General features: G+C 44.8%; 1 protein-coding gene and 1 non-coding gene across 5 annotated transcripts in view, besides 2 other annotated features; both read right to left on the bottom strand.

Annotated features, from left to right (window-relative positions):
* The window catches only part of SMOC1 (SPARC related modular calcium binding 1), a 152,951-nt gene that overhangs the window by 30,881 nt on the left and 98,179 nt on the right, over positions 1-23,891 (bottom strand). For 2 of the 4 annotated variants that reach the window (NM_001425244.1, NM_001425245.1), the window contains exons 5-7: positions 23,521-23,568; positions 9,013-9,102; positions 7,006-7,086 (exon numbers count right to left, since the gene is read on the bottom strand). In NM_001425244.1, coding sequence (NP_001412173.1) covers positions 7,006-7,086; positions 9,013-9,102; positions 23,521-23,568 — 219 coding nt within the window. The remainder of the gene's footprint in view (positions 1-7,005; positions 7,087-9,012; positions 9,103-23,520; positions 23,569-23,891) is intronic. The other 2 variants (NM_001034852.3, NM_022137.6) reach the window with 1 other exon arrangement.
* Positions 13,625-14,126: an enhancer, noted in NCBI's record as "NANOG-H3K4me1 hESC enhancer chr14:70454077-70454578 (GRCh37/hg19 assembly coordinates)". NCBI's record gives its function as "activates a minimal SCP1, AML or CMV promoter by ChIP-STARR-seq in naive H9 embryonic stem cells {active_cell/tissue: H9 hESC(naive)}" and the evidence as "EXISTENCE:reporter gene assay evidence [ECO:0000049][PMID:30033119]".
* Positions 21,917-22,416: an enhancer, noted in NCBI's record as "H3K27ac hESC enhancer chr14:70445787-70446286 (GRCh37/hg19 assembly coordinates)". NCBI's record gives its function as "activates a minimal SCP1, AML or CMV promoter by ChIP-STARR-seq in primed H9 embryonic stem cells {active_cell/tissue: H9 hESC(primed)}" and the evidence as "EXISTENCE:reporter gene assay evidence [ECO:0000049][PMID:30033119]".
* Positions 23,290-23,353, bottom strand: SNORD169 (small nucleolar RNA, C/D box 169). Its single transcript, NR_145786.1, has one exon. It is a non-coding gene; the product is annotated as a small nucleolar RNA, C/D box 169 (small nucleolar RNA).

The raw sequence follows: 23,891 nt of genomic DNA, 5'->3' as shown, positions 1-23,891 counted from the left end.
TAATCACTATGCCAGCAATTCAAAACAATGTCAGTGATAAAATACTCCTCCCCACTGGTATGGACCACACCATCACCCCCCATCCCTTTGGTGCACCACTGCCCAGTGGTCAGCTCCTGCCTTAAATGTTCCTTGTATTTCATCCTTTGACCCCTCAGTGGCAAACAGAGGCCTTAGCACATGATAGTTCTTGATGGATCTATGACCTTGGACAAGGCCCTTAGCAAGTCTGGGCTCCTGTTTTCTCATTTAAAACTAAGCGGCAATGCTAGATGACTCTCAGGCCCTTCTCACTCTAACGGCCCACAGTCTTACAATTAAACAAAATCAGGTGCACTTCCCAGTGACTCAGGGGCCAGATCCAAACTTAGCTTCCCAAGTCCCAGTGGAACAGAGCACCAGGAAGGGGCTGGGTTAAGGGGAAGGCTGCTCGGTGCTCTCAGGTTCTCCCTCGTACCTCATACCTCTTTCCACAGCCCTGCTATGTGGCCTGTGAGCCACACCTAACCTGCTATGTCTCGGAGATCCCATCTTCAGCACAAAAGTAACACCGTCCACCCCATATCCCTGACGTTGGCCGAGGCCACCTCCTCACAGGGATGTTTACAGTTGGCACTGTAAGTAGGGCATGCTGCTGGGATGAAGTGTCATGGGTGAGGAGGTGTAAGGGAAAATTACAAACCAACCAGCCTGTCTAAATAGTTTCTCTCTGTGTAACCCAAAATGGTCATGCATGGCTCACCATGGTCTGAAGTGGTGACCGCTTCCTTCCCACGCAGAGACTGAGTTCCTACAGGGCAGGGAAGAACAAGATCGAAATTCTACAGAGGATATTTCTTCCAGGATGGATTGTCCCAATATAGCATGGAGGCATTTTTCTTTTTAACTTTTCCCCCAAGGCATCACTGACTCGCACCCGCTCAAATTTTAGAAAAGTTCCCATCTCTATTGACTCATGGCATTAAGTGAGCAGATATGACCCTTCCACCAAAAAGAATATGAAATACTTCACAGTATCTTTGCAATGACAAGTACTGAGAAATAGCAAGCTGCCTTTTTTCTAGTTTTTCTCAGTAACTTCATTGGCTTTAACCTGACAGTCTCTGTACTTTCATTGGCCTTAAACTGACAGTCTCCGTACTTTTAAGAGCAAGTTCTAGCAAATAAAAATTTAGACAGAAAGGGAGGAGAAGGCACAGACAAAGGTGGAAGATGGAAAAGCTATTTAAATTTATCAAAATAAAGTATCACAACTTCACTCTTTACTCCCCAAAACATGAGTGTTGCCTGTGTGAGTGTGTTTATGAGATGTAGACCCCGTCTACTTCCAAAGCCACTTTACAAATAAACACAGAACAAGGATGCTCAGATCTAAGCAGAGACTGTAGTTGACTTCCAGAAAATTGGAATGAGCCAATGACAATACCTGGGCAAGATCTTCAATTTCAGTGTCTTAGCAGCAGAGGCCAAAAGGAAAATACCAGGGCACGTAGTTTTGCTATCTAACATTAAAAAGCAGACACACTCACCTCCAGAAACAGAAACAGAACCCTTGCTGGTGCAGCACGTCATCCCAGTGCTGTGTCCTGCAGCACATCCCTCCACCCTCCCACACCTTTGTGTTCCAAGCAGACAACATGGGGCAAAGGAGCAAGGCGACCAGGAAAGCTAATTTTAAAACAAGGTAAAAATGGACTGTGCGGCTAGGCTTCATGGGGCCTCCAAGTGTGTTTATTGCTTCTCTCCGCAAAGGGAAATTTTAAGAAAGAAAAAGGCCTTTGTTGCCATGGAGAAAGCCATAGGGATGACCACCCATCCCCCATCCCCAGCTCAATTCTACTGGCCATGATTGACCAAGGCACCTGCATCAGAGAGATGGGCAGACATCCAGAAGGCCAGTTATGGAAATAAATATCCAGGGTGTATTTTTATATAGATATTTTAAATGCACACAAGCCCAGACCCATCCTCGGCTGCTAACGTTAGTGGATTACTCATTCTTCCTCCCAATCACGTCATGTGCGAGATTCCAGGTGGCCATGGGGTATTTGCTTACGACGGCTACCGCTGGTTTCCCTGCGAGCTGTTTATTTTTCCAGGCCTCAAGTCATTACATCAGCCGGTGGTTTCTAGGCGGGCCAAGAGTGCTGGCTTGGGGGGTGGGGAATCCAGCCAGGAGGTGCAGTTGCCTCAGTGACCCCAAGTCCCAGTCATAGCAGCTATCCCAGCAGGAACTTCCTGGGTGAGGAAGAAGCAATCCAAGACGTGGCCAAATGGCCTGAAGCAGGCCTAGAAGAGCAGCACTCTGATACTGTGAACAGCTTACCTGTGACAGGTAAGGTGACATGAGAAAACACAGTCACAGTCATGCACGAGGAGGCCAGGGTGTCACTTTCATGGTAAAACTTAAAAGAAATGCATTTCCACCTTATGTCTGTGCTGATGGCTGTATCTCCAGGGAGCAGAGTCACCATGAGCTGCTCCATTCAATGATGTAGAGAAGGGAGCGCTGTGGGTCTAAGAGGCAAGGGAGGAAAGGCATGGCCCTTTCAGATTTAACTCACAGGGCCAGGGTCTAGGGCCTCCTTGAGGCCCTTGATCAGATCATGGAAGAAGTTAACTGGAAAAAAACAGGGACAAAGGAAAGAAAGAGATGACAAAACAAAGAGGGAAGTCACACCTCTCTACTCCACTTGAGGCCACAGAGTCAAGCCCCCAGGGCAGAAGGAAATGAGTGGTGGGCCTTGGGAGCATTACTTTGCTGCACAGAGAAGTGCATGAAGATATTTCCTGAGAGATTATACTTGCCCAGAAGAGAAAGGGTGGAAGTTCGTCATATAGAAACAAAGATGTAAATCAGAGCCATAGGAAAGTGCCTGCACATAGTCAAATTAGAAACATGAGAAGATGAGGTGAAGAATTAGATGAAACCTAATTCTTGTCACTTATTTCATATCTTTATCTTCTGTAACATATAGATGGTTAAAAAATATTTTAAACACTAGGTATATTAAGAAATGCCTTGGTAGCCAACCCCTGATTTAAAAAAAAAAAAAACTTAGCAAGAGTTCATATTTCCTTATAAAAGCAGAACAGAGGCTCCATCCAACACTCATCTATGGGAAGATGCTGTTCTCAAGTTCTAGCGTATTAGCTGGCCAGGTACATTGTCTTCCTGAATGCAAAAGGAATTCCTGGTGCACTGGAGATGCAATGGAGGAGAGGTTCAATGGAGGCGAGAACTGAAGAGAAGAGCAAAGAAGCAAATCTGTCAATGCTGAACCTGCCAATTACTCAAAAGGCGACACTGACTATAGTGAACACATGACAAAGCCTTAAAAACAAGGGCCAAAACTTCCAGGAGCAGAGAGGGAGACTAGGAGAGTCTGTAGGCATATGTGTCATGTTATTGCAAAACTTCAGCTGCCCAGTGGAACCTTTCCAACATCAACAATCCCCAGGCCAGAAAACAAACCTGGCGTCACAGGGTCTGAGTGTGAAAAAAGGATGTGTGGGGTGTAAAAGAAACTGGGATAGCCTTTTTGCCTCTGAGAGACAGCTGAGAAGAAGAGCTCTCACCCCGATGGGCTTCACGGAGTCCCATGGCAACCTCCCCGGGGATGCAGGCTGAAGCACACCTGAACCCAGGATCATCCATCAAACTCTAATGAAAAACTGTCTCAGGTGTTTGGCCAAAAGGCTCCAGTCCCTACCAGAGCCAAATATCCAGACATAAGTTATCATTAAGGTATATCTGACTTCTCATTAAACCAAATATGATAACATGTGACAAGTGGCTAGCAAAAGACATAAAGATATTCCACCAAGAGTCACCAGTGTTTTGTTGGGTTTAAAAAATCATTTATGGTATACCTACTATGTGCCAGGCATTACACAGATGCTCTTGAGTCCTCACAAAGAAATCCTGCAAGGCACTAAAACTTTGTTTTACATATAAGGAAATCAAGACTCAGGGAAGTTAATTAACTTTCCCAAGCTCACCAAACCTCTCAGTAGGAAGCTAGCATTGGAAACCAGGTTATAGGTTTGTCTGACACCAAAGCCCATGCTTTTGCCATTACATGGTTTATCTCCGCTACATGCAAAAGACTCCCTATCCACTACCTAAGAAAGCCAAACATCAAGATGCTTTTTTGGCAACCCGTTTGTGGGAGCATGCACCAGAACCGGACATTAAAGCTTGGAAAAGGTATGTGTGAGATGGTGAAGAGCCTTGTGAGCTGCCTCAGAGCTCCTGTGCTGATGCAGGCTTACCTGGGCATGTCAGGGAGCATCCTCCTGCCTGGACTATGAGAGGGGCCAGAAAACTTAAGTAAGACATCCCCATACACACACTCCCATCCAAATGCTTCTATTTCAATCATATATGCCAGAAGCCAGAAAGCTTTTCTGTAAAGGGTCAGATAATAAATATTTTAGGCTTTGCAGGCCATACAGGGTCTGTCACAACTATTCCACTCTACTATTTAGATGAAAATGGTCACAGACACTACACAAATATATGGCTGTGGCTGTGATCCAACCCAACTTTATTTTCAAAAGAAGGCAAGAGACCATTTGACAACCCCTGTTACAGGCCTTTGTGGCACCATATATTTTATACATAATTATATCAAAGAGATTGATAGGCATTCAGTCAATATTACCAGTTGATCAAGATGGAAAAAGTCTCAGTTGAGTAGGAGATTCCTAAGTTATCAATCTCTAACAGTTAGCCCTGGTCTCAGTTTCTCCCAGAGAACTGTTAGGTCTCTCCCAACTATCCTGTCATATACACGAACCTTACAGATATAACTGGGGTCAGCCAGAGAAAAATAAACGTGGCCAGGCCACCCCAACAAAAGGAAAGTGGATGGACCTGCCCAGAATCCATTTCTCAACATGACCCTATTCTCATCTAATTGGAGAGTAGGAATGAAAGCAGAAGAACTTCAGCGGAAGCAAAGATTATCAACTGACTTTGACCTCACCACTTTACTACATGCAGAGAATACAGCCCAAGAAGACAGGCATTCTATTCCCAAGGATAACTAGTTTTCTCCAGCCCAACCACTCCCTAGCTATGACTCAGGACAAGTTACTTCCTCTGTCTCAGCCTCTGACTCTTCATCTGCAAGATGGAGACAAGAACAATAGCTATCTCATAGGGTTATGGGGAAGCTCAAGTGAGATGACACAAATGTAAAGTTCCACAGGACCTGATAACAAAGTAGCTATTATGACAGTGCTATTCTAATTTTGATGATGATGATGATGATCTTTTCTCCTCCATCGTTCCCCAAAGCAATCAAATGCATGGGTAAGTGAAAAAGAAATTCAAGGAAACAATTGTTAAGGGCCAAGTGAGTGTTTCAGCCAAAAAAGTGCTGTATGTTATAATTCAGAGCTCACCTTCGTATCTTCCACTTGGTCACAGAATGAGAATTAACTCATGGGGGTCTTGCAGACCTTCCAGGGCCTCAGGGACTAGGAGACCAGTTGCAAATGTTACTTCCGGCACCAGGTACTACAGGCACCAAAACCACTTCTATTTGATTTATATTTGCCTAACAGGGAAAGGGGAATAGAGGGGGTCCTAAGAAGAAGCCTAATAGATGCCTTTGCTTAAGGTGACAATCATAAATTCTTTCTGATTGAAGAATTTTCAAAATAAGCACCATCATTACTATTCCCGTTATTCATACCAATAATAATGATAATAATAAATATATGTACTTACAATTTATCAGTTAGCCAGGCATCAGTTGAGTGCCATATAGACATTATCTTAGTTAACTTTTAACCATAGTCCTTTGAGGGAGAGATTGTGATTCCCATTTTGTGAATGAGAATTGAGGCTCAAAGGAATTATGTGACTTGACTGGGGTCACTAAGTGTTGGAGCTACAATGTGAACCCAGGTTTCACTAATTCCAAAGCCTGTGCTTTAACCACTGCACTATTCTGTCAAAGACTGACCCAAGGGGGTTCACAGTCTCCTTTCACTCCACCATCCCATATCTCCAACTTTTATCAGTGAACAGACACATGAAAAGGCAATGACCAGCCCAAGTCACAGAGGAACTCAACTGATGGCGTGTGAATTCACCTCCTGGTCTATATAATTCCTTGCATTCTAATGCCACATCGCCACCATTAGGACAGAGCTGGTGAACAGGTCAACTTAAAGGGGACCAATGACAGGACACTCATTAATTGATTGTCATGTAAAATTCTGCCTGCTGGTTCAAAGTCATATATCTTTTGTTCATAGTCTTGCCACCTATAAGGAAAAGAAGATAGGGCTAAATTCAACAACCAGGCATAAATTATGCAGAGTGGTATTTCGCATAATGAAGTCTTCGGTTGAAAAGATGATCCTCCTTGATAGAGATACAGATTTCGCTTGTGAACACATTTTCCTGTTGATGAACATTCAGTCTTTATTGATAGTAAATAGACTTTACTGACTCTGGTCTTTATTGTTATTAAATAGAGTCTACAAAAAAATCCTACAAATATGATCACCCCTCAAAAATTATCACTTTCTACAGAGGGTTCAGCCAGTGCTCAAACTTGACCACTCACAAGACCCCCTACCAAAAGATCAGACCAGAGAAGACATGACTGTAAGCACCTATTTAGAGCCTTCAAAACACACAGAATCGACTCCCTCCAGGCTTGAAGTCCAACTTCTTTATGTCCAGTCATTCTTTCAAATTCTTCTGCATGGCATATGGAAAGTTAACCAAAATATTATAATATACAGTCAAAGAAATTTGTTAAGAGGATCAACGACCTAAGAAAGATGATCTCTGAGATGATAATTGAAGAAAATTAAAGTTGGAAGGGATTAACTTATCCAATCTCTTTATTTTATAGCTATAGAAATTGACAACCAGACAGATTAAATGATTTTTCCAAACCCACACAATAAGTAGTCACAGAACCACGGGGCAAGGAAGGATGGACTGGGTACATATATAATCCAAGGAAGGTTATTTACCTGAATTTCTTATGTTGGTGTTGTTCAGTTTGGAGTCCTTGATCACCAAGTGTTTAATCCATAGAGTTGGGGCTGTGATTTCTAGGGGTGAGGAAAAGGAGAGAGAAAAAGTCTGGGCAAAGAGACTATGTGAGTGGAAGTGTAACCTCAGACTTCTTAATAGTCATTTTTCAAAGTCTGAGGCATTGAGGCTTCAGCTCTCTCCCACATCCACTCCTCCCAGTTCCCCTCCCTTCCTCACAACGGAAGCTTCTCTCCCCAACAGCTCATAAGAGCCGATCAGGGCATCCTGTGCTGGGAAGCAGAGTGGTCAGAATGCAGAGGCACTGAGCACTCCATCCAGGAATAAAAATATTATCCCAGGAGGTAAGGAACATGGGCCAAGCCAAGTCCCTCTCAGCTGCTTCCCTGGGAGAAGATTTAAAGGGGATAAATCAACAAACGAACGCCAAACAAACCACAGAGACCATTCTAGGGGAAACGGCTGAGCCGAGATTGCTCCAGGTGGGAAAGAAAGGAGTGCGTCTCATGTGTGCTTCAATCCCCTTTCTAATGGCTTCTCATGCGCAGAGGCTGAATTCCTCCATCAAGAGAGTGCCAGGGTGCCTCCAGCCTCTCCAGGATTTGGTCACCCAGTGGACAGATGGGAATCCTAAGTGACCTGAGCATACTGTGGAGTGACCTTCAATGAGGGTATTGGGGAGGTCTCCCAAGATGAGACAGTCTCCATCCCTCACCTGACCCCCCAGGGTCCCAGACTTGTCAATGATCCAGGACCTTTGTGGATCACAGAGACATCTACATCTAAACTTTTAGACATGAACATACAAAACTTCCCATAAGTGAGCTGATTGCAAAGGATATTGCACATTTCAATCCTCCTCAGAGCTAAGCTTGTGCTAGGGACATCCATAGCCACAGTGTTAACCCGTGGCATGATTTCTTTTTATTCTTCTGTCACTCTGCCCAGTCTCATGATCCAGGGCTGGATACGCTTAGCTAGGAGCTGCTCAAAGTTTGCTACATATTGCACTAAAATCCCAACCTTATTGTCATACTTTAGAGACTTCACTCTGCCAAACTTCCAGTTCCTCATCAAGGGAATATGGAGTACTCAGTACAGTAAACTTTAGAGTACAGGCCCTGAGCACCTCCAACTTGAACCTCCTGCACCCCGCACTCCTATCCTCTCTCTATGCCTCCAGAGACTTCCAGCCTCTCTTTTGCCACCAGCCACAATTTCTCTTGACCTAGAATTTCTCCTCTCCAAAATGTCCTGCCTCAACTCTCAACGTCCCTACAACCTACACAAACCAGTCCCACTGGCCAATCTCCTTCCTGCAACTTTCCTCACTGTATCCCATCCCTACCTCATTCCCCTCTTGTCCATGCCAGCACCCTGCCTGGAACACTCAGACTCCTCCCCACCACTTTCAAGATCCAGCTCAAGTCCTGGCTCTTCACAAAAGCTTTTCCCAGACCATGGTGATCTCTTTCTTCCATAAATGTCTATGACAATAAGAACGGAGACCCCGTAATTTAAAGCACTCTAAGAGTTGCAGCTGTCTTGAGAGCAAAGGTTTACATCTCCAAACCTCCTTTTCATCCCCCAGAGGGGCTCACACAGTGCCAGGCACAGAGTGGACACTTGCAAGTGCCAATTAATTTACTGAAGGGACACTGCCGGCCTGACTATCTTTCTCAGCTGTGATTCCTGGGTCTTGGCAGCTCCAAGGGTCTGTCCAGGCTGTGTTATTGTTGGACACCAGGAGACAGGCAGGAAGCCTGAGAGAACAGAGGGCCCTTCCAGAAGTGGAGAGTGTACCAATTCCTGGGAGGATCTGCATTTTTTAAAAAGGTTAAAACAACCCAGCTTACACTGGGAAAAATTGAAATTAAAAAAGAAAATAATAATAATAAAACTTAAACAAACATCCAACGTTAAGACTTTTCCCAAACCTGAAAATGAGTGGGAGAATGAACATCAGAAGTAATGCAAGATCTTACCATCTCCATCGAACACCGGCTGGGTCTCCATCGTGGGTGTCGGCTTAGACCCGTCATCTGAATTGAGGGTTAAAAAGAATCGAAAGGAGACTACCATTATTGAGGTAAATACTATCTACTCTCCAGCACTGTTGAATGGTTGGGGTTTGTACAAGGCCCGGCCAAGTCCCAGTGAAGAGAACAAAGAAAAAGAAACAAAAGAAGAAAAGGGCAAGAAGGAAAAGAGAACCATAGAGAGACAAAACAACAAAACAAATCCAGGTGTGTGTTCACCATCCCAAGGCATGGACGAAAGGAGTTAAAGCTTCGTGGCTTTGGGGGACCGTTTCTCACAAATCTGAGGATACCAGTATGACTCTGCTGGCCCTTGTTCCCGCAGGAAAACTGGGAGGCAGTATCTCCCCCTCAGCCCTGAGTTATGGCCAGGCATGTTAGCATAAGGTTGGCAATCCTTATGGCATCAAATTATGGTGTCCCCAGCTCCTTTCCTGCCCTAAAGCTACCAGCTCAGTGGCCCTGATTAAAGAGCTCAAGGAAAACAAGAGACCTGTGTGCCATTCCCTTCCAATCTCCTCACTGTTTCTCCACTTTCACCTAAAACAGATAAGAAGGCAGGAAGAACCATTCTCTCTCCAGCACACGGAACTGAAGAGAATCAGGAATCATTAGAATGCTTCTAACTGTGAAATAGCAAACACCCCAATTCCCAATAAGAGGGAGGGCAAGCAAAATGGGAGAGGACATGGGACTTTGCAGAAATCACCCTAGACTTGCTTTGAAATTTCTAACATAGATGATTGGAGCAGGGAGCTCCCAGTAACAAAGTCCTAATGCTTATCATTCTAATAGTGTTGGCAGTCCTCTCTGCACAGCAAGAACCTCTGCAGGTCAGGAGTTAGTGCAGACTTTATTTACCTTCCAGGACTCTGAGTTCTTTCATCAGGGCCCCAAAAACCTTAGCTTATAGCAGTATTTCTCAACCTTTTTTCCATTATCACTCATCTAAGGAGCATTTTTAGGTAATTTTTTCCTAATCATCTCCCTAATAAAATTTTAATAATGCAAAGAAACAGTATATATATTTGTGCTTCATATGTAAAATGAGTGTTTTTCATCCCCTAAGAAATAATTTTACCCCCTTAGAGAAGGCTTGGAGAGGGTATCTTTGTCCCTCTTAAGGTTATATAGTTTAAGAGATTTCTCTCCACGGGGGGAGGGAAGGAGAGCACTGTTGTCTCAGGCGGTTTGATGATTACACCATCCCTCTCTTCTCAAGACCCCTTAGAGGTCTTTTAGGATGGAACACTATATTCTCTGAGCATTAACTATTTATGCAGATTGCAAGTTCTCAGATAGTCTCTGTGACGCCAGTCAGATCATCAATAATAACAACCCTCTACCATTTGGAGCTCTCAGTACCTTTGGCCGACTTTCGTGCATCTTATTGGGGGAGGGAGAGAGAATACAGAGTCCTGATCTCCTTTTTGCATCAACATCTCACCCTTGGGAGCTTAAGATTCAAGAGCTATGGAGACTCTAACCCTTGTTAGAGGCTGAGGCCAGCAGCTGAGCTGACAGTCGGGTGACACCTGACCCTGATATTATTCTCATGTACTGACACCAAGACCCAACTCTTGCAGAAGCCAAAGTGATCCTGAATTATCTGACAATCATCCCAAGAAATGAGATGTAGCAGGAAGAGAAGAGTATCTATGCTGGATATACTATTTGCCTCAAACTGGAGTCCAAAACAGGCATCTTTTGATGCCAAACTGTGTGAGTTTGATCTGGAAGTCTTTGAGGGAGAATAAACACAGAACAGAGCCACACAATGTCATTTTTTTAATAGCATCACTTCCCCTGACTCTATTAACACCTCTTTCCATTGAATTCAATGAGCCACTGAATTGAGTCTTTTGGCAGCTGCAATGCACATTTGGTTGTGCCTGCCAGATACAGAGTTCACAGTCTAAATAGTCCAGCACAGTGTGCTCAGCCCTTCCACACAGGGTGGCTTCATTTTAGGAGTCTTACAGGCTAACAAAGGGAAAGTGAAAAATCAAACATTCCAGGAGGGATGATAATGAGAACTCAAGTGCATATGGCTTATGTAATATTTTAATATTCAATGTAGGTATGAAAATCCTCCCATATTACAAGAACTGTATCTCTTCTCTGGAGCAAGACAACTGAAAACATTCTGTTTATTTCTCCCATCATCCAGATGAAAATCTTGGACTGCCCATCGGGCCCAGCCATCAGCAAAGAAGGTCTGCACTCAAGGAGGGCAAAAAGGTTTTTTGGGGAAGCTTTGCCCTTTTGCAGGTCAAGGACCTCCACAGATTTCCCAGATGTAGTCAGAGAAGCCCATGAGGCATAAAGCCACTTGCAGGGAAGGAATCTTCCTGCAGGGTAGGGTCACTGAGGGTGAAGAGATACAGCTGCTCTGCCACGGGGAGGTCCTAAATGGAAATCTTTATGAAGTGAGAAAAGACAAGATGCCCTGCTGCCAGGAATCACCTGTGACATCCAGCATGCTCAAAGGCTGGGAAGCCAAGCCAAAGCGAACAGCACCCTCTAACCATCATCTCCGGGCACCTGGGCTCCTGGCTTCTGACCCAGCAAATAAGAGCACCTCTTCTACCAAACACAAGTCCAAGGCCTAGGTCCAAGGTCTACATCAGTTCTGCTTCCAGGCAAGCCCTGGAGCAACACCAGGCCCCACACTGGGCACTGGGGAGAGAACAAGGTTTCTATATGTGCTCCTGCCTCCCAGTCTTAAGGGGAGTCACACTCCAAATCCCCCTTCACATGTAATAAGTTTACTCTGGATAAGTTGAGCCCCTCCTTTTACTTCTCTGGATAGCAATATCCTCTTCTAAAATTGAAGGATACCTGCCTACAAAATCTCGGGACACTTTTTTGTGTAGGTGTAAAACACTTTAAAGGCCCACTAAAGGGCATCTATAATTCCATGAGTGCAAACCATCTTATTCAACTGCTTACTTTTAAAATTGGGTTTACAAAATTAAAATCCTATCAAAGTTTTTAAATTGAAAATAAGGTAAACCTTACAACTCAATAACAAGCAACCTTATTTAAATATGGACAACATATTTTGACAGACATTTCACCAAAGAAGAGATACAGATGGCTAATAAATACATGAAAAGATATCCAACATTGTTAATCATTAGGAAGGTACAAATTAAAACCACAACAAGATACTTCTAAACAGCCACTAGAATGGCTAAAATAAAAAGATAGACAATATTAAGTGTTGGTAAGGATGTGGAGGAAATGGAACCCTTGTTCATTGCTGGTGAGAATGTACAACTGGGCATCCACTTTGGAAAGGAGTTTGACAGTCTCTTTAAAAAGCTAAACATCAACTTTTAACCCCAAAATTCCACTCCTAGAATCCATCTAGGAGAATAAAAACATGCCCACACAAAGACATGTATAGAAATATTCACTGCAGCATTATTCATTAAAGCTTCAAACTGAAAACAATCCAAATGTCTGTCCACTGGTGAATAAATTGTGATATATCCATATGATAGCATACTATTCAGCAATTAAAAGGAATGAATTACTAATACATGTGACAATGTAGATGAAGAATCTCAAAGACATTATGCTAAGTATAAAAATCCAGATGTAAATACCACATGTTGTATGATTCCATCTATATGAAATGTCTAGTAAGGCTACATCTATAGACACAGAAAACAGATCTGGGGGTGCCTAGAGCTACAGGTAGGAGTAGAAAATACCTGTGAATGGGTTCAAGGTTGCTTTTTGGGGTGATGGAGATGTTCTCTGGTGACAATTGTACAACACTATGAATTTATTAAATTCATTGGGTTGTATATTTACAATGAGTGAATTTTACGGTATGTAAACTATACTTCAATAAAGCTGTTAAAACAAAAAGGGAGGTGTGCCCAAGTCATCACAAATAAATCATGAGGCAGCAGCAGCTAGATTATTTGAGTGGTCCTTAATTTGGGGGAAGACTCTTCCACTGTTTTAAAGAAAAATGTATGTGAATCTGTATATGCATGTGATGATGTTTGGTGTATATTCTTCGTGATTCTTTTGGACCTCAGAGAGTATTTCTCTTTAATACTATAATAATCTTCCATATTAAAAGGAAGAGGATAAACACTGAAAAAAAAAAAGCCAATTCAAAGATTATCCTTTTTCTTACAGGGAGGGAGAAAAAAGGCAAATTTGGAAACATGAAAACAAACAACAAATAAGGCAAACTGAAAGAATTCTCAAGGAGGATGTCAAGAGCAACGGTAATAATAGTATTACCACACTTTGCAACACTCAGTTCCTGGCAGGTAGCTTTCCTCATCTATTCTCACCACCAGCCAGGGCGGAGGGAGAAACCAGGCAGATAAAAAGAGAATTGAATAACAATGCAAGTAAGTGATTTGATCAAGGTCCCAGAGGCAGCAAGCAGCTTTGGAAACTGCCTGGTCCCAGAGCCCTGGCATTTGGCCTCCGGAGATTCCCCAACCCCCAGTCACGCCTTGTCCTTGCAGGTGCAGCCCCAGAAAGTTGCAGCCCCCGCATGGGCTCTGTGAGCCTATACAGACAGTGGGTTTGTGTGACAGCACAATTCCTTGCCCTGCGAGAAGGCCTGGCCCACGCACAGACAGCTGGAAGTCACTTCGACCCCCGATGACACCGTTCAAAGCCTCCTCTGTTTGGCTTTTTGATTCCTGATTGACATTCGCTGGCGAGGAGAGATAAATGCCAGGCTGAGGACAATGTTGATCCGCTCAGACTATTCTCAGGGAAAGACTTTTCAGAATAACAAACAAAACAAAACAAAAACCCAAAAACATTGGTGTGCTTAAGGGACTGAATAGAGCCCAAGAGGTCCAGGGACGCAGGGCCAGGCCTTTCAAGGGGCTGGCAAGTCCATTGAGGAGTTAATTGTTTGGGTGTACAATGAGTTTATTCTGGCCACATACAAAGAGCTTTCTCTTCCAGGTCCTTCAAAAGCAAATGTCTCAAAGGAGCCAGAGGAGGAATCTGTATTAATGGCATCTCTTGGGGTCTCTGAGACTGAGAAGCCTTGGAGAATGAGGAAAAAAGAAACCACTTCCCCCATTCTGAGATGTGGAAGGTCTGTCAACAATCCCAAGTCCCCTTCAATTCTTGGGCTCTCCCCAAACCATGTCCATCACTGGTGACCCTCCCTCATATTCTTTCAGGCTGCCATTGTCCATCTTTGAAAAAGACATGGAGATAAACTTCAGCCTGGTAGAAGTGCTCGAAGGTTCTTGCTTTGAAGGGACCACATTTATGCCAGAGCCACCATCCCCCTCCACATGTGATTCTGAGGCTCAATGTGGAAGTGGAGACAACTCATTCTGGGCATCGTAAGGAGACAACAGTGTCTGTTTGCAAAAGTCCCTTAAGAGCCTGCCCTGAATCAGACCCAGAGGAGGATGGAATGCTAGGCCACCTCAACATTTCCTGAGATGCATGCGCCATGACCAGCGAGGCTCAGAAATGGATGGTGAACTGTCCTGATTCTGATCTGTAGGAGCAGAAGTGGTCGGGCATGTCAGGTTCTTTCCAAAGCAGGAGGTCAGTGTTTTATATTCCGTATACCTACCTGCATGTTCCCTCCCAAAAGAAGTGAAAACAAGCTGAAAGCTGCCTTTTTGCAGGCAGTTCTCACATCCTTGAGCTGAAGAAGAGCAAAAACAGAAGGCTGGGGAAAAGGCAAACTGGGGACAGAAGAGGAAGAGGAAGCACCGGCAGCAGAGGAGCCTGGTCAGGGCTGGGTTCACACAGAAGACTCGGCTAATGTTTTTTTAACTTTTTATTTTGAAATGATTATCGATTCACAGGAAGTTGCAAAGATAATACAGAGAGGTCCTGTGTACCCCTCACCCAGTTTCCCCCAATGGTAACGGCTTTATAGTTAGCATAATGATATGGGTAAGCTCTTTAATTATCTGGGTGGCATAATTAGTACAAAATCAAAATCGGGACACTGATATTCATATAATCCATGGACCTTATTCAGATTCTACCAGTTTTAAATGCACTCATTTGTGTGTATCGTTCTCTGCAATTTTATCCACGTGTAGACTCAGGTAACCACCACCACCATCAGCCTAGAACTATTCCATCAGCACAAAGATCTCCCTTGTGCCACTTTTACTGTCACACTTTCCCTCCTCCACCCCATTCCTCACACCTGGCAACCACTAATCTGTTCTCCATCTCTATAATGCTGTCATTTCTAGACTGTTATATAAATGGAATCATGCAATATACAACCTTTTGAAATGGGCTCTTTTCATGTTGCATAATGCCCTTGAGATCCACTCAAGTTGTGGTTGCATATATCAACAATTCATTCCTTTTTATTGCTGAGTATTTTTCCAGGGTATAGATGGATAGGGGATCCCACCTTACTCACAGCAGATACCTTCCAAGACCCCCAGTGGATGCCTTCAACCGCGGATAGAACCGAACCCTATACATCCTGTTTTTTCCCCATACATACCTATGATAAAGGTTTATTTATAAATTAGGCACGGTATAGATGAACAATAATAACTAATAATAAAATAGAATAATTATAACAATGTACTTTTATAAAAGTTATATGAATATTGTCTATCTCTCAGAATATCTGATTGTACTGTATTCATCCTTCTTCATTTTGCAATCTATCCACTTGATAACAGAGCTGGCCCCAAGTCACAGGGAGGGTACACAGCATGGGTATGCTGGACAAAGTCATGATTCACATCCCAGATGGGAGGGAGCAGGACAGTGTGAGATTGCATCACACTACTCAGAATGGCTCACAACTTAAAACTTACAAATTGTTTATTTCTGAAATTTTCCATTGAATATTTTCAGACCATGGTTGGCCGTGGGTAGGGCAGTACTACTGTGCCACAGTTTGTTTCATCCACTGAAGGACATTTGGGGTTTTTTTTCTACTTTCAGCTATTACAGATAAAGCTGCTTCTTGTTCGTGTACAGGTTTTTTGTGTGTGTGGCCATAAATTTTCATTTCTCTGGAATAAATGCTCAGGAGTGCAACTGCTGGATTATATGGTATATGTATGTTTAGTTGTTTTTCAGAAACTTCCAAAGTATTTTTCCAGTGTGTCTGTACCATGTTATTCTTGCCAGCGATGTATGAGAGGTCCAGTTTCTCGGCAGCCTCACTATCATTTGGTGTTGACACTACTTTTTCTTTTAGCTCTCCTAATAGATATGTAGTGACATCCTGCCATGGACTTATTTTGCATTTCCTGTGGCTAATGATGCTGAGCCTCTTCTTGTGTGCATATTTGCCCTCTGTTTGTCTGCCTTGGTGAAATTGGTGAAATGTCTATTTGTGCATTTGGCCAATTTCTTTCTTTTCTTTTTTTTTTTTCTTTTTTTGAGACAGGGTCTCACTCCATCACCAAGGCTGGAGTGATGATCTCGCTTGCTGCAACCTCCACCTCCTGGGTTCAAGTAATTCTTCTGCCTCAGCCTTCCGAGTAGCTGGGATTACAGGTGCACATCACCATGCCTGGCTAATTTTTTGTTTTTGTTTGTTTGTTTGTTTGTTTGTTTGAGATGGAGTCTCGCTCTGTCATCCAGGCTGGAGTGCAGTGGCGCGATCTCGGCTCACTGCAACCTCCACCTCCTGGGTTCAAGTGATTCTCCTGCCTCGCGGCCTCCTGAGTAGCTGGGATTACAGGCACGTGCCACCATGCCTGGCTAATTTTTGTATTTTTTTTTTTTTTTTTAGTAGAGATAGGGTTTCACCATGTTGGGTAGGCTGGTCTTGAACCCCTGGCCTCAAGTGGTTCATCCACCTTAGCCTCCCGAAGTGATGGGATTACAGGTGTGAGCCACCATGCCAGGCCACCATTTTCTAATTAAACTGTTTTTTAGCTGCTAAGCTTTAAGAGTTGTTTATATTCTCTAGATATGAGTCCTATGTTGGATAGACGGTTTGCAAATATTTTTTCTCAGGCTGTAGTTTTTTCTTAATTCTCTAACAGCACTTTTTGCAGAGCAAATTTTAAAGTTCAACTTATATATATTATCTTCTAGATTATGTTTTTGGTGGTGAAGATTTTCTCTTGTTTTCTTCTAAAAGTTTTAATAGCTTCACATTTTACATTTAAGTCTACGATCCATTTTGAATTCATTTTCATATCAGGTCTGAGGTTTAGGTTGAGGCTTTGGGGTCGATTTGTTAATTTTATTTGTTTGGTCTGTGGATGTCCAATTGCTAGAGCACCATTTGTTTGTGGATCTGTTTCTGGGTCCTCTATTCTGTTCCATTGATTCATGCATCTGTTACTCCACAAATACCACACTATCTCTAGAACTCTAGCTTTATTCATCTTAAAATCAGATAAAATGGTTCCTCCCACTTTAGTTTTCTTTTTCAAAATTGTTTCAGCTATTCTAGTTCCATTGCCTTTCCGAAGAAACTTGAGAATAATCAGCCCTTGAATCTCACATCTTTCTTTCTGCAAGCACAGGATCACTGCAATGGAACCTGAGAGTGACAGTTCCTCGGCCTTTACCACACGAGTTCTGTGGCCCTCTGAGCTGGAGACCAGGGGTCAGAAGCAGGCCCAAGGCCTGTCCACCTATGTGCCCATATCCCTACCTCTCTGCAAGCTGCTGTGCCACACTGGAACTTAGGCCGGGAGCAGGGAGCAAATGAACATACTCTCATTGGCCTGACAAGCTCTGAGCCCTCTCACCTGGACTTCAGTGGCCCCACAAAGGCACTAGTCAGAGGGCTCAGGAACCTGGCAGAGGGCTTTGCTCAGCTCAGGCCACCCGCTCCAAGGGGCTTTCCTTAGAGGCTCTGGCTACAGGAGCTACCACACAGGGTTGTTTGGAGGGGCCACCTGCCTTCCCTCCCCTGCAGAGGTGGCAACTTCCCAGAGCTTACAGAAGCCTGCTGCTCCGCTGGAGGTTTTCCTCCACCTGAAGATGAATAACCTCCATCATAAAAGGCTAAGAACAATTAGAATGTGAGCTCCAGGAGGTGAGGCCTGGACTCGTACTGTTATACTCATCCCTGGGTCCTTAGTGACGATAACAAGCCTGACATTTAGTAAGTTCTCCATAAATATTTGCTGAGTAAAAGCACCAAGCGTAAAATATCAATGGTTACTAATAACACCAGGGATTCAAATGAATTTATGTCTAAGAGGCTTTTTCCAGATCCCTAAATCTTATTCTCTCTCCAATCCTTGGAGATGAGGATATGGCAGGAAATCAAACTCTCAGTCTAGTGCTGTTCATGCATAAACTTTTCTTCAGAGACCCTGGAATACGGGCCAAAATGGAGGCGGTTGAGTAGCTGGAGCCAAGCTGGCGGAGCAGTTAGCTATGGGAAGGAGGGAGACATGGTACATGTGTGAGCATGCAAGCACACCCCTTCTGAAACTGACCTCTGCGAAGCTGGTATATGAACATTCCAGGCTTGGTGGAGGCGGCTCGGAGAACCAGAAAGCAAACGAGCTGCCTCTCTCAGGCTTGGAGCTGCTCAGGCACAGTTCTGTTTCAGCAGGCACAGAATCAGAGAGAATCCTTCTCCAAGAAAAGCCATGTGAGCAGAAGCCAACAGCATGGAGGTCGTCAGCTGCCCATCTCCATTCAAACCCAGCCCAGCCCACCTGATGGCAATGCTAAGAGATCAGCTACAGATTCAGCCTCCCATACCCCCGTGGTTGCTAGGGGAAGAGAAAAAAGAGGTAGTCGGGAAGAGATTTAAGTCATGTGAGCAGGAGTGACATTTCACATGTGGAATGTCCCTCGACAGCCAGCCCAACACGGCTCTGCCAGGCTCAGGGCAATGAAGCACCCCTCCTTCAGGTGTGTTAACACCTTATGAGGGCTGAGGCTGGGGGGCCACCCAGTCCCCTTCGTCTGGGATGTTTGCCAGCCATTGCCTCTGTCCTAAGCCTGCCCCTCAGAGCTGCTCCATCCATTGCTTGAGTGACAAGGTCTCCAAGTTGGCAACAACCTGTAGACCCAGCTCTAAAAATAGAGATACAGACAGGGACCTTGGAGAAATAAATATGACTCACTCTTTACTTGGAGCACATACTATGGAACAGCCAGTGGGAGATCTTCTTTTTAAACTCTGAAAATTAAAGCTGGGTTGGATTTTTGAAGTTCTGCCCCTCTCCAAGACTAGCTTGACAAATACAGAAGCCCATGCAGAAAAGTTTAGCAGAGTATATTAGTATTTTTATTTTTCTCTTGCTTTCCTTAAACAACTAACTCCCAGACTTCTTATGGGAAAAATGCAAACCGCAGAAAATTCCTGGTGACCCTAAACTTTCACTTGCCATTTATCACAGCATCACCCCATGGCCTCTGATGCTCTGGGCACTCAGAAGTCAAAAGCTCACAGAGAACTGCCAGAAATCATTTCACAAGTGCTTTTCCATATCCTTTCATTTAATCACTCTTCACCACTGCCCCCCTTCACCCCACCAGAGGCTAAGAACTTCCTTCCCTCCTTGCACTTCACAAGCAATGAAGGGCAGGGCCAGCCCCTGAACCTGTGTTCAGTTATCCTGGAAGCTCCTCAAATCACCTATGGTAATTAGCATTGAGACCCCAAAAAGAGTCACATCAGAAAAATCCATAGGCCTTGGTACAGCCAGGTAAAGCTGCTGCAGGATAACTTCTTGATCTCTGAAACCATTCTGCTTCCAATCTACTTTCCTTTGGATGACTCCAGTGAAAACCAAAACTTTACCTCTATCTCTACTTCTTCAGCCTTCAACTGTTTTAGCAGTGCATTTTCAGAGCTAAAGGGGCTGTTTGGGGCCCTCTTCCTCTCTTCTGATATTCCTCTGTAGCATCCATAAAACACATGTGAATGCACATGTGCACCGTCCCCCTCTCCCACACACACAACACACACACGTCTCTCTTTAAGGGCCAGGACCAAAGGAGAAGAAGGGGAGGGGGCAGCCAGGATGGGATTGCCCCAGATCAATGGATATTTGAAACTCAAACACATGGTCCAGGACCTACACTGCATTTGTTAATTACCACACATGTGCCCATAAAGGAGTTCGTTAAACACAAGGGGCCCAAAGAACAGAGTGAGGAAAGGACATTCCAAGGGATTAAGTAAATAGTCTGAAGTTTTGACCCTCCTCCCCTCCTGGAGCACGTGCATCTGGGTAAGATAACAGTGTCTCCCCCTCCTTCCCCCACTTCTTCCCTGGGGCCCCACACCTGTGGATCCAGGAGCCACAGCCACTCAGGCCTCCTGTCTTAGACCAAACGGCTGTGACCACCCAGCCTCTCTCTCTCCTCCCTTCCTCCTGCCATCTCTCTGGGCCTCCTCCCCCAGCCTCCTTCTGCTCTGCCTTTCTCCTCCTCTCCTTCAGAGAACTAATTCCTGGCTGGCGACCAGACTCTCCGTGGTCACACAATACATCTTTTCATTCCTTCCAGCCTGGGAGGGACAGCCGATCCCTCCCAGCCCGGTCAGTGGAGGATATTCAAAAAGGCAAGAGGCTAGGGAAAGAGAAGGCTGGGTCCCGGGTCCCGTCCTTGCCCTGCCATCCCCCACCACTCACACCTCCAGACCTCTGGCCCCACCTCTTTTCTGGCCATATCCATCACCCTGCACAAGGGTGCAGACCCAGCACCTCTTTGCAGCAGGCCTCAGGGTAATAGATGCCTCCTATGAGAAGCCATGTGCGGGCACAAGCTCAGACAAGGGGCCTTTGTGTCTTCCCACCTGCTGCCTTCCAGAGCACATTCCATTCTTAAGTGGCAGCTGAAAGAGGAACCTTGGCTAGTCGACACAGGATATTACTAATGCCCTCTCGCACCCTGTCCCCATTCAAACCCCAGCTTCCTGGACAGGTGTGGCTTCAGGTGTGGCGTCCTACAGGTGGCCCGAACCTGCTCTTCACTGCGCTGCCCATAGCAGACAAAGAGAAGAGGATCCAACACCTAATCAGATCCTTCAAAGTACAGGGAAAGAGAGGCCACTAAATAGGATTTAAGACTCCAGGGGAGAATGAGTCCTAGCATTCCCCACCAGAGCCTTGTCCTGACCTTTGCACCAAAGAGGAAGCCTCTGCAGAGCCATCTTGGAGGAAGGGACCCATCGAGGGCAAGGGAGTAAAGAGCTGGGAACTGAGAGCAGCTTATCCCTCTGAGATGAAGGCTTCAGTTTCTATCCCCCATTTCCTGCATCGCCCCTGGAGGAACCAGGCTCCTCTACCCTCTTTTGGCTCTGGAAGCTGACCCTAGAGCTAAAAAGGAACAAATGGTACTCACTGCTTGACTGTAAAAGGGAACAAAGGGTGCTCACTGTTGACTGTAAACTGACATCCCCAGCCACCCTCACCCCCCCACTTCCAGCTGGACCAGTGAGAGCCTGGGATGACCATGGGTCTGTCTGTCATTGTTGTCCACAGGGTGCAAAGCCACATCCCCCTGGAAAGCACTTCTTGTCCAGTTTAAGAACCAGAATCCCATGGCTGGCAGTTGTTTAGTGTGTGTGCACTTTATTCAGCATCATACAATCAGCTCCCTTTGGAGGAGGGGAATCTGGGTGGTCAGTTTTGCATGATTGACAATTTTTCTTTCCTACTACCAGGACCTCATGCCCAGGAATAAAGGTGATGTTCCTGAAGATTTCCATTGCAACAGGCAAAACTAAAAGCAGTGCATGCCTGTAGTCCCAGCTACCTGGGAGGCTGAGGTGGGAGAATTGCTTGAGCCCAGGAGTTTGAGGCAAGCCTAGGCAACATAGTGAGATCTTGTCTCTAAAAGATAAAAATTAAAAATGCTCTGCTAGAAAAAAAACAACACACACACACACACGCAATAGAAAACTTGAAGGCATCTTCCTTTTCCAATCCCAGTAAACACACACTACTCACAGCATTGGTGATTTCAGGTCTTTGTAGATTCTCTCCCCACTTTCCCACCTAGGAGGGAACCACCCACACTTATGGTAGTCTCCTCATGCCCTGGGAAGGACCTGAAGAAGCACTTACTTCCCTTTCCAACCACTTTCTCATTTTTGCCCAGGGAAAGAGCAGTAGCCCATCTGGCCCATTGGTCCCTGTTTTCTGGTGGGTGGTGGTATCACCTGTTCCACTTCCACATCTTCTTGGAGCACCTGCATTTGGGGGCAGCAGGTTCTCCAGATCCTTATCTCCTGCATTCAGAGTGGGTGACTTCGCCTCTTCTTCCCATCCCATGGCATAAGCACTGGAGGCAGGGCCCAGGGCTTTACCTTGGTCTCCCTGCAACTGTGTGTGCAGGACAAGCCTGTGAACTTCACAATGACCCTCAGCAAGCCCAAGGCTCCACGTGGGCCCTGATGAGCATGTAGTTTCCAAGGCCTAGATGCAGGTGGGAAGCCCCAAACTCAGCCTGAGATGGGAGTCCTGGAGAGGCTGCACACGAGATGAAATGCACACTTGCTTTCCATTCAACTACCAGCTCTGCACATATGCTGTCCTGGAGGTCAGTGGCAGTGAATCTTAAGCCTCCAACTGTCTTCCATGCTAAAAACTATGGTCAGCATATTCCAGGGACCTATGGCTCATGTTGGCTTGTCCAATAAACAGCCCTCAGACAGATGCCAGCTACGTCACTTGTGGGGCCCAGTGTAAAGTAAAAATGCAGGGCCTTTCATTCAAAAAGCAGGGAAAAGTGCCATTAAAGGCACTAAAATACAAAACTTTGTCCTTTATTCCATAGTCTCTCTCTCTTACCTTGTCACGGTGTTATTTTAATTTGCTACTTAGTATTGTCCTAGATAAAGAAAAATTAAAATTTTAAGCATGCTATGGAAGCCACATAGTACACCTCACAAAAGCTTTGTGCTAATGAGGTGACAAGGTTCAGCAGACACTCATATGACGTGTCTCTCCTCCACTCACTCGCATCTTCACTGTCCCATCAGACTCAAAGACAGAATTATTCAGAATTTCAGGATAGCAACTGCACAGGTCGCATGCCCACAAAGCCAGCCTCGCCTTAGTGAAGAGAATCTGGATGTGCTGGGACAATTATGAAGGAGCATCAGCGAGGGGGGAAAAATGCCCAAATGTGCTTACACAACAAGAGAGCCAAGGGCAGACTTGGGCACCCTACCTTCCTCATCCTCTCTGGTTTAATGCTGGCTACACTGGTAGTTGATTGACCGAGCTCCCCAGGGAACCAATATTCCTAGGGCTCACATTCTAAAGGTGCTTCCCAGCTCTGGGCTCTATACTCAGTCACCTCCCTTGGGAAATCTGGGAGCTTGGTGTCCATCACTGTATGAGCCTTACTTACCTCGGGTGCTTCAGAGAGGAAACATGGAATAAGAATGGAGAAGATGTTCTGCGGGACACCTTAGGCTTTCACCCCAGGCTCCTTCTATCTCATCTAAGAAATCCTGCTTGGACCACCTTTGGAAGCAAACATTTAGATAAAGCATAAAACTCCACTCACCTTTCCTTCCTGAGTTACCCTGGCTCAAGGGCTTGTCGGTGACTGAACCTTGGGTGAGAAGGGAAACAAAAACATAGCCACTCAGAATGCATTGTGGTTGGTTTCTTTCTAAGAGTTGGCAAAACCTGATGTTATGAGCATATGGTCATGTATATATGTATTGTATACACATCTAAGGATATTATATACAATGTTAGTACATATACACATGTTGAGTGGGGTTTGTTTAACATCAATGTCACTGATAACCCAGCACTGTTAAGATGAACTATGATTTCTAGGTTCCCTGGAAACAGTCTTGACCACATTTTTACAAAATTCCACACTCATATAACTCCCTAGTTGAATATTCCAATATCTGCCCCTCACCT

This window comes from Homo sapiens, chromosome 14, assembly GCF_000001405.40.
Source record: "Homo sapiens chromosome 14, GRCh38.p14 Primary Assembly".
NCBI classification, from domain to species: Eukaryota; Metazoa; Chordata; class Mammalia; order Primates; family Hominidae; genus Homo; species Homo sapiens.
The sequence above is the reverse complement of the archived record's forward strand: the minus strand, read 5'-3'. Positions and strand labels throughout refer to the sequence as shown.